At 41.0% G+C, this 10701-nt stretch overlaps 1 annotated feature.

The window, feature by feature from the left end:
- Positions 651 to 1152: an enhancer, noted in NCBI's record as "NANOG hESC enhancer chr8:29316470-29316971 (GRCh37/hg19 assembly coordinates)". NCBI's record gives its function as "activates a minimal SCP1, AML or CMV promoter by ChIP-STARR-seq in primed H9 embryonic stem cells {active_cell/tissue: H9 hESC(primed)}" and the evidence as "EXISTENCE:reporter gene assay evidence [ECO:0000049][PMID:30033119]".

Genomic DNA, 10701 nt, shown 5'->3' with positions numbered 1-10701 from the left:
TTGCTGGCAAGGGGCAGGGGGACACAGACTCCAGAAACTGGGCCCAAATCTTCATTTCCTTCTTCACTAATGAATTCAATGGCACTGGGAACTTAGATCTCATGGCTTCATGTGACTTTGGGGGTAAGCCAAATCTGTGCTTTCCCCCTTGCATATCTGAAACACACACCATAAGAAGGAATTGGATTTGGCTGGTCACCCATAAACCTCGAGTCCTACAGGCTGATTGACAGTCAGAAGTGCTCTTGGCAAGCAGAAAACACTTTGCGACTCTGAGTTTGGTGATTGGGCAATAGCTTCAGAATTCTGCTATGATTAATCACTTAAAAATCTTCTTTCTCTTATCTGCATACCTTAGACTATAAACTGATCAGCGATTATGTGTTATTTATCTCTGCACCGGACTAGCACACAAGTCCGGTAGGTGCTCGAAAGATATTTATTGAGAACCGATTTGAAAGTGAACAGAGTCGACAGCAGGCAGGCTACTGCTCCTGACGTTAACCATCCCTGCCAAAACAACACCTTCCTACTCTCCAGCGTAGAAATCGCCCCTTTTCCTTTTCTCACATATCTCTTAGATTAGCAGGGGGCCCCTGCCTACAGAACAACCCCCAGCTGACTCTCCTTCTGTTTGGAAAACTGATATTTGTTTACAGATGATCCCAGATTACACCATGTTCCCCACTTTCCCAAAAATATCATGGTGTCAAAACGCAGCCTGAATATAGATAGTAAAATGAGCACTGATGTTCCGCCTAAAGGCCTTTCAGAAGCTGCAGGAAGAATATTAATTATGTGTTCTATTTGTTTTCATAGCCTAGAGGGAAACCCAGCAACAGACACCAGCAGATCTTTAATCTTGATGCCATTTCCTGTCTGGGGGAGGGGGAAGCTGGTGTTCTCTCCACTGACTTTCTCACTGAACCTCACCCATTCCATTCAAGCTACTATGAGCCAGCAGAAAGTACTGAGGAATCTGAAACACGATGGGGAAGCCTTTTCCCAATGAGGAGTGGCATTAGTGTAATATAAAAACAAGACCTTACAACAGTTCTAAAATGACTTGCTTTTCCCTCTGTTCGGATACAGGATATTTTTTTTTTTCATAACAGTTTATTACAATGACTATCGGAATATTTTGCCTATGTCAATTTCTGTTTTTCAGACTAAGTTGACCTGTGGCCCAGATTTCATACATGTATTGAATTTGTAGAATTTCAAAAACTCCATCACAGGTGCTAGATAAATAATAATTAAGGATCTTTTTATTTTCAGATCACTGACCTAAAGATATATGTGTTAATGCCCAGTTCTTTCTATAAACATCCTAGGTGTTCATAGTCTTATGTTCCAACGAATGTCCAAAAACATGGAATCGCAGCTGTTTATTTTTGGCATTTATTCTTGGCATTTCTTGAAATTGATTTGACCATCAATTGAGATTTAGAAAGGAAAACATGCTTAAGGAAGGAAGAAATATCTGTCACCCAATGTAACAATCTTCTAAACTTTGAGAAAAATCACTCATTTTCCTAGCAAATTTGGAAACCATTTCTTAAACCAATTTTTAGATAATTTTTAGAGGCAAAATTTTCTGATTATAGTTTGCCAGGCCATAATCTTGGGCAGGCGAAGCCTTACAAGTACTTTATTGACCTAGCCTTTTTTTTTTTTTTTTTTTTTTTTTGAGATGGAGTCTGGCTCTGTCACTCAGGCTGGAGTGCAGTGGCACGATCTCGGCTCAACCTCCCTCTCCCGGATTCAAGCAATTCTCCTGTCTCCGCCTACGGAGCAGCTGGGATTACAGGCATGCGCCACTACACCTGGCTAATTTTTATATTTTTGGTAGAGACGGGGTTTCACCATGTTGGTCAGACTGGTCTCAAACTCCTGACCTCAGGTAATCCGCCCGCCTCAGCCTCCCAATGTGCTGGGATTACAGGCGTGAGCCACTGCACCCAGCTAATCTACCTTTTAAAACACACTCAGCATGAATTGTTCCCACTATTATAGTTCCTTTAAAAGAACATCATAATAGGTTCAATGCATTAAGAAACAATAAAGATTACATAAACTAGTCAATCAAAAAGTACAAATGGGCTTTGCCAAATACCAATGGGTGGCCTAGATTTTGGATGTACATAATTGATCTTACACAGATGTAAGCACGATTGCAGCCAGCTATGCTCAAGGGTGACCGTAGCCCTTTTCAGTGATTTCAGACCACACAGCGTCCTTTCCCATGGTGTCTCTTGTTACAAGTTGCTTAGCACCGTGGTGGCTTGTGGGTGGTGAAATATAAACCATCACCACTAAAACAAAAAACGAAAAACACCACCACATTTCATAATATCCAGTGTCAGCTCTTTCACTTCCAATTATCCCTTCACTGCTTATCACCCCACAAGGGCAGGAGTAGGGTATGGCAAGTGAGGCACATGCCTTGGGACAAAATTTGAGGATACCAAAAAACTCAGTTACTAAGATAACATTTTAATGCATTATTTTTTTAAATGAAATTTAATGCCAAAAAAATCCATGATGCATGAGATATCCAAATTTTAAATAACAAGATCCAACCTGCCCTTGCACAGCCTTGCTTCATTTGCTCCACCCTAATCTCAGCTCTGGTTCCAATAAAACTTTATTTATAAAAACAATCAGCTAGTTTATGGGCCGTGGTTAACCAGTTTGATTTTTTTCCTTAAATGTTTGGTAGAATTCACCAATAAAACTATTTAGGCCTGGTTCTTCTAGTTTTGCAAGGCTATGAATTGTTGATTCAATATTGTAGATAGATTTAGGCCAATTCATGTTATCTATTTCTCCTTGTGTGAATTTTGTTATATTGTATCTTTCAAGGAATTGGTCCATTTCATCTAGGTTATCAAAATTTCGAGCATAGGCCAGCTGCAGTGGCTCACGCCTGTAATCCTAGCACATTGGGAGGCCGAAGCAGGTGGAGCACTTGAGGTCAGGAGTTCGAGATCAGCCTGGCCAACACAGTGAAACCCCGTCTCTACTAAAAATACAAAAATTAGCCTGGCGTGGTGGCAGGCACCTGTAATCCCAGTACTCAGGAGGCTGAGGCAGGAGAATCGCTTGAATCCGGGAGGTAGAGGTTGCAGTGAGCCAAGATCGCACCATTGCACTCCAGCCTGGGGGACATGAGTGAAACTCCATCTCAAACAGAACAAACAAACAAACAAAAAATTTTGAGCATAGAGTTGCTCGTTTATTATTCTTTTCATGTCCATGGGATCAGTAGTTATGTCCTCTTTTTCATTTATGATATAAGTAATTTGTGCCTTTCTTTTTTTCTCTTAGCCCAGGGAGAGGTTTGTCAATATTATTGATCTTATCAAAGAATCAACTTTTGGTTTGGTTGATTGTCTTTATTGGTTTCCTATTTTCAATTTCATTGATCTCTAATTTATATTATTGCTTTTTCTCTGCTTACTTTGGATGTAATTTCCTCATCTTTTTCTACTTTCCTAAAGTGAACACTTATACTGTTTATATTAGGTCTCTCTTCTTTTTTAATATATGCATTCATTGCTCTAAACTTCCCTCTAAATACTGCTCTTGCTGCATCCTACAAGTTGTGGTAGGTGGTATTTTCATACACTTCTGTGAGTTAGTCTGTTTAAAAATAAGGTAAACCATGGCTGGGCGTGGTGGTTCATGCCTGTAAACCTAGCACTTTGGGAGACCACGGCAGCAGGATTGCTTGACCCCAGGAGTTCTGGATCAGCCTGGGCAGCATGATGAAATCCTGTGTCTACAAAAAAATATAAAAATTAGCCAGGTGTGGTGGCACCCACCTGTAGTCCCAGCTACTCAGGAGGCTGACGTGGGAGGATCACCTGAGCCCAGAAGGTTGAGACTATGGTGAGCCATAATTGCATCACTGCACTCCAGCCTGGGTGACAGAGTGAAACCCTGTCTCAAAAAAAAAAAAAAAGGTAAACCAGATATTATCATCTCCAAATACCTACCAATAAACAATTGTTTCTGGAGATTCTTTAAGATTTGAAAAGACAGAATGGGGAGGAAAAGTAATGGACAAGTAGGAGAAACTGTCCTAGACTGACTTTCCTTGAACTAATTATTGTGAAGTGTGACACACATATCTTCTAATACATAGAGTATATGCCAAAGAGCACAGACCGAAAACAGCCACTGTCCTCACACCTCTGCACCTGACCTTTCTTTTTAAAAAAGTGATGTCTGACACCAAATGTTATGGTCTCAGTGTGCTAGAGCCAGCTTGTACCTGCCCTGGACAGTCAATTGCTAACCTGATGGTAGCTTGAAATTGGCAATGGCTGGCAGGGCGCGGTGGCTCATACCTGTAATCCCAGCACTTTGGGAGGCTCAGGCGGGCAGATCATGAGGTCAAGAGATCGAGACCATCCTGACCAACATGGTGAAACCCTGTCTCTACTAAAAATAAAAAAATTAGTTGGGCATGGTGGCGTGCGCCTGTGGTCCCAGCTACTTGGGAGGCTGAGGCAGGAAAATCACTTGAACCTGGGAGGCGGAGGTTTCAGTGAGCCGAGATCGCACCATTGCTCTCCAGCCTGGCAACAGAGCAAGACTCTGTCTAAAAAAAGAGAAAAAAGAAAAAAAGAAATTGGCAATGGTAGGAGTATATGGGAGTCTCTGTAAGAGAAAAATCAGCACGTACTATAGATCAGCACTTTGTTTTGCTTTTTCTTTTTTTTAATTTTTTTTAATTTTTATTTTATGTATATATTTTTATTATACTTTAAGTTCTAGGGTACATGTGCACAACGTGCAGGTTTGTTACATATGTACACATGTGCCATGTTGGTGTGCTGCACCCATTAACTCGTCATTTACATTAGGTATATCTCCTAATGCTATCCCTCCCCTCTTCCCCCACCCCACAACAGGCCCCAGTGTGTGATGTTCCCCTTCCTGTGTCCAAGTGTTCTTATTATTCAATTCCCACCTATGAGTGAGAACATGCAGTGTTTGGTTTTTTCTCCTTGTGATAGTTTGCTGAGAATGATGGTTTCCAGCTTCATCCATGTCCCTACAAAGGACATGAACTCATCATTTTTTATGGCTGCATAGTATTCCATGGTGTATATGTGCCACATTTTCTTAATCCAGTCTGTCATTGTTGGACATTTGGGTTGGTTCCAAGTCTTTGCTATTGTGAATAATGCCACAATAAACATACGTGTGCATGTGTCTTTATAGCAGCATGATTTATAATCTTTTGGGTATATACCCAGTAATGGGATGACTGGGTCAAATGGTATTTCTAGTTCCAGATACCTGAAGAATCGCCACAGTGTCTTCCACAATGGTTGAACTGGTTTACAGTCCCACCAACAGTGTAAAAGTGTTCCTATTTCTCCACATCCTCTCCAGCACCTGTTGTTTCCTGACTTTTTAATAATTGCCATTCTAACTGGTGTGAGATGATATCTCATTGTAGTTTTGATTTGCATTTCTCTGATGGCCAGTGATGATGAGCATTTTTTCATGTGTCTGTTGGCTGCATAAATGTCTTCTTTTGAGAAGTGTCTGTTCATATCCTTTGCCCATTTTTTGATGGAGTTGTTTGTTTTTTTTTCTTGTAAATTTGTTTGAGTTCTTTGTAGATTCTGGAGATTAGCCCTTTGTCAGATGAGTAGATTGCAAAAATTTTCTCCCATTCCATAGGTTGCCTGTTCACTCTGATGGTAGTTTATTTTGCTGTGCAGAAGCTTTTTGGTTTAATTAGATCCCATTTGTCAATTTTGGCTTTTGTTGCCATTGCTTTTGGTGTTTTAGACATGAAGTCCTTGCCCATACCTGTGTCCTGAATGGTATTGCCTAGGTTTTCTTCCAGGGTTTTTATGGTTTTTAGTCTAACATTTAAGTATTTAATCCATCTTGAATTAATTTTTGTATAAGGTGTAAGGAAGGGATCCAGTTTTGGCTTTCTACATATGGCTAGCCAGTTTTCCCAACACCATTTGTTAAATATGGAATCCTTTCCCCATTGCTTGTTTTTGTCAGGTTTGTCAAAGATCAGATAGTTGTAGATGTGTGGTATCATTTCTGAGGGCTCTGTTCTGTTCCATTGGTCTATATCTGTTTTGATACCAGTACCATGCTGTTTTGGTTACTGTAGCCTTATAGTATAGTTTGAAGTCAGGTAGCATGATGCCTCCAGCTTTGTTCTTTTGGCTTAGGATTGACTTGGCAATGCAGGCTCTTTTTTGGTTCCATATGAACTTTAAAGTAGTTTATTCCAATTCTGTGAAGAAAGTCAACGGCGGCTTGATGGGGACGACATTGAATCTATAAATTACCTTGGGCAGTATGGCCATTTTCATGATATTCATTCTTCCTACCCATGAGCATGGAATGTTCTTCCATTTGTTTGTGTCCTCTTTTATTTCGTTGAGCAGTGGTTTGTAGTTCTCCTTGAAGAAGTCCTTCACATCACTTGTAAGTTGGATTCGTAGGTATTTTATTCTCTTTGAAGCAATTGTGAATGGGAGTTCACTCATGATTTGGCTCTCTGTTTGTCTGTTGTTTGTGTATAAGAATGCTTGTGATTTTTGTATATTGATTTTGTATCCTGAGACTTTGCTGAATTTGCTTATCAGCTTAAGGAAATTTTGGGCTGAGATGATGGGGTTTTCTAGATATACAATCATGTCATCTGCAAACAGGGACAATTTGACTTCCTCTTTTCCTAATTGAATACTCTTTATTTCCTTCTCCTGCCTAATTGCCCTGGCCAGAACTTCCAACACTATGTTGATAGGAGTGGTGAGAGAGGGCATCCCTGTCTTGTGCCAGTTTTCAAAGGGAATGCTTCCAGTTTTTGCCCATTCAGTATGATATTGGCTGTGGGTTTGTCATAAATAGCTCTTACTATTTTTAGATACATCCCACCAATACCTAATTTATTGAGAGTTTTTAGCATGAAGGGCTGTTGAATTTTGTCGAAGGCCTTTTCTGCATCTATTGAGATAATCATGTGGCTTTTGTCTTTGGTTCTGTTTATATGCTGGATTACGTTTATTGATTTGCATATGTTGAACCAGCCTTGCATCCCAGGGATGAATCCCACTTGATCATGGTAGATAAGCTTTTTGATGTGCTGCTGGATTTCGTTTGCCAGTATTTTATTGAGGATTTTTGCATCGATGTTCATCAGGGATATTGGTCTAAAATTCTCTTTTTTTGTTGTGTCTCTGCCAGGCTTTGGTATCAGGATGATGCTGGCCTCTTAAAATGAGTTAGGGAGGATTCTCTCTTTTTATATTGATTGGAATAGTTTCAGAATGAATGGTACTAGCTCCTCCTTGTACCTCTGGTAGGTTTCGGCTGTGAATCCGCCTGGTCCTGGACTTGTTTTGGTTGGTAAGCTATTAATTATTGCCTCAATTTCAGAGCCTGTTATTGGTGTATTCAGAGATTCAACTTCTTCCTGGTTTAGTCTTGGGAGGGTATATGTGTCAAGGAATTCATCCATTTCTTCTAGATTTTCTAGTTTATTTGTGTAGAAGTGTTTATAGTATTCTCTGATAGTACTTTGCATTTCTGTGGCATCAGTGGTGATATCCCCTTTATCATTTTTTATTGCGTCTATCTGATTCTTCTCTCTTTTCTTATTAGTCTTGCTAGTGGTCTATCAATTTTGTTGATCTTTTCAAAAAACCAGCTCCTGGATTCATTGATTTATTGAAGGGGTTTTTGTTTCTCTATCTCCTTCAGTTCTGCTCTGATCTTAGTTATTTCTTGCCTTCTGCTAGCTTTTGCATTTGTTTGCTCTTGCTTCTCTAGTTCCTTTAATTGTCATATTAGGGTGTCAATTTTAGATCTTTCCTGCTTTCTCTTGTGGGCATTTAGTGCTATAAATTTCCCTCTACACACTGCTTTAAATGTGTCCCAGAGATTCTGGTATATTGTGTCTTTGTTCTCGTTGGTTTCAAAGAACATCTTTATTTCTGCCTTCATTTCATTATGCACCCAGTAGTCATTCAGGAGCAGGTTGTTCAGTTTCCATGTAGTTGAGTGGTTCTGAGTGAGTTTTTTAATCCTGAGTTCTAGTTTGATTGCACTGTGGTCTAAGAGACAGTTTGTTATAATTTCTGTTCTTTTACATTTGCTGAGGAGTGCTTTACTTCCAACTATGTGGTCAATTTTGGAATAGGTGCAGTGTGGTGCTGAGAAGAATGTATATTCTGTTCATTTGGGGTGGAGAGTTCTGTAGATGTCTATTAGGTCTGCTTGGTGCAGAGCTGAATTCAATTCCTGGATATCCTTGTTAACTTTCTGTCTCTTGATCTGTCTAATGTTGACAGTGGGGTGTTAAAGTCTCCCATTATTATTGTGTGGGAGTCTAAGTCTCTTTGTAGGTCTCTAAGGACTTGGTTTATGAATCTGGGTGCTCCTGTATTGGGTGCATATATATTTAGGATAGTTAGCTCTTCTTGTTGAATTGATCCCTTTACCATTATGTAATGGCCTTCTTTGTCTCTTTTGATCTTTGTTGGTTTAAAGTCTGTTTTATCAGAGACAAGGATTGCAACCCCTGCCTTTTTTTGTTTTCCGTTTGCTTGGTAGATCTTCCTCCATCCATTTATTTTGAGCCTATGTGTGTCTCTGCATGTGAGGGGGGTTTCCTGAATACAGCACACTGATGGGTCTTGACTCTTTATCCAATTTGCCAGTCTGTGTCTTTTAATTGGAGCATTTAGCCCATTTACATTTAAGGTTAATATTGTTATGTGTGAATTTGATCCTGTCATTATAATGTTAGCTGGTTATTTTGCTTGTTAGTTGATGCCGTTTCTTCCTAGCATCAATGGTCTTTACAATTTGGCATGTTTTTGCAGTGGCTGGTACTGGTTGTTCCTTTCCATGTTTAGTGCTTCCTTCAGGAGCTCTTGTAGGGCAGGCCTGGTGGTGACAAAATCTTTCAGCATTTGCTTGTCTGTAAAGCATTTTATTTCTCCTTCCCTTACAAAGCTTAGTTTGGCTGGCTATGAAATTCTGGGTTGAAAATTCTTTTCTTTAAGAATGTTGAATATCGGCCCCCACTCTCTTCTGGCTTGTAGAATTTCTGCCGAGAGATCAGCTGTTAGTCTGATGGGCTTCCCTTTGTGGGTAACCCGACTTTTCTCTCTGGCTGCCCTTAACATATTTTCCTTCATTTCAACTTTGGTGAATCTGACAATTATGTGTCTTGGAGTCGCTCTTCTCGAGGAGTATCTTTGTGGTGTTCTCTGTATTTCCTGAATTTTAATGTTGGCATGACTTGATAGGTTGGGGAAGTTCTCCTGGATAATATCCTGCAGAGTGTTTTCCAACTTGGTTCCATTCTCCCCGTCACTTTCAGGTACACCAATCAGACGTAGATTTGGTCTTTTCACATAGTCCCATATTTCTTGGAGGCTTTGTTCATTTGTTTTTGTTGTTTTTTTCTCTAAACTTCTCTTCTCGCTTCATTTCTTTCATTTGATCTTCCATCACTGATACCCTTTCTTCCAGTTGATCGAATCGGCTACTGAGGCTTGTGCATTTGTCACGTAGTTCTCATGCCATGGTTTGCAGCTCCATCAGGTCCTTTAAGGACTTCTCTGCATTGGTTATTCTAGTTAGCCATTTGTCTAATCTTTTTTCAAGGTTTTTAACTTCTTTGCGATGGGTTCGAACTTCCTCCTTTAGCTTGGAGAAGTTTGATCATCTGAAGCCTTCTTCTCTGAACTTGTCAAAGTCATTCTCCACTCAGCTTTGTTCCATTGCTGGTGAGGAGCTGCATTCCTTTGGAGGAGGAGAGGTGCTCTGATTTTTAGAATTTTCAGTTTTTCTGTTCCATTTTTTCCCCATCTTTGTGGTTTTATCTACCTTTGGTCTTTGATGATAGTGATGCACAGATGGGGTTTTGGTGTGGATGTCCTTTCTGTTTGTTAGTTTTCCTTTTAATAGTCAGGACCCTCAGCTGCAGGTCTGTTGGAGTTTGCTGGAGGTCCACTCCAGACCCTGTTTGCCTGGGTATCAGCAGCGGAGGCTGCAGAACAGCGAATATTGCTGAACAGCAAATGTTGCTGTCTGATCGTTCCTCTGGAGGTTTTGTCTCAGAGGGGTACCCGGCCGTGTGAGGTGTCAGTCTGCCCCTACTGGGGGGTGCCTCCCAGATAGGCTACTTGGGGGTCAGGGACCCACTTGAAGAGGCAGTCTGTCCGTTCTCAGATCTCAAACTCCATGCTGGGAGAACCACTACTCTCTTCAAAGCTGTCAGACAGGGACATTTAAGTCTGCAGAGGTTTCTGCTGCCTTTTGTTCAGCTATGCCCTGCCCCCAGAGGTGGAGTCTACAGAGGCAGGCAGGCCTCCTTGAGCTGTGGTGGGCTCCACCCAGTTTGAGCTTCCTGGCCACTTTGTTTACCTACTCAAGCCTCAGCAATGGCAGGTGCCCCTCCCCCAGCCTTGCTGCCGCCTTGCAGTTTGATCTCAGACAGCTGTGCTAACAATGAGCGAGGCTGTGTGGGCATGGGACCCTCTGAGCTATGCGCGGGATATAATCTCCTGGTGTGCCGTTTGCTAAGACCATTGGAAAAGCGCAGTATTAGGGTGGGAGTGACCCGATTTTCCAGGTGCCATCTGTCACAGCTTTGCTTGGTTATGAAAGGGAATTCCCTGACCTCTTGCACTTCCT

Source organism: Homo sapiens, chromosome 8, assembly GCF_000001405.40.
Source record: "Homo sapiens chromosome 8, GRCh38.p14 Primary Assembly".
Lineage (NCBI taxonomy): Eukaryota > Metazoa > Chordata > Mammalia > Primates > Hominidae > Homo > Homo sapiens.
This window is presented reverse-complemented; position numbering and strand designations above follow the sequence as displayed.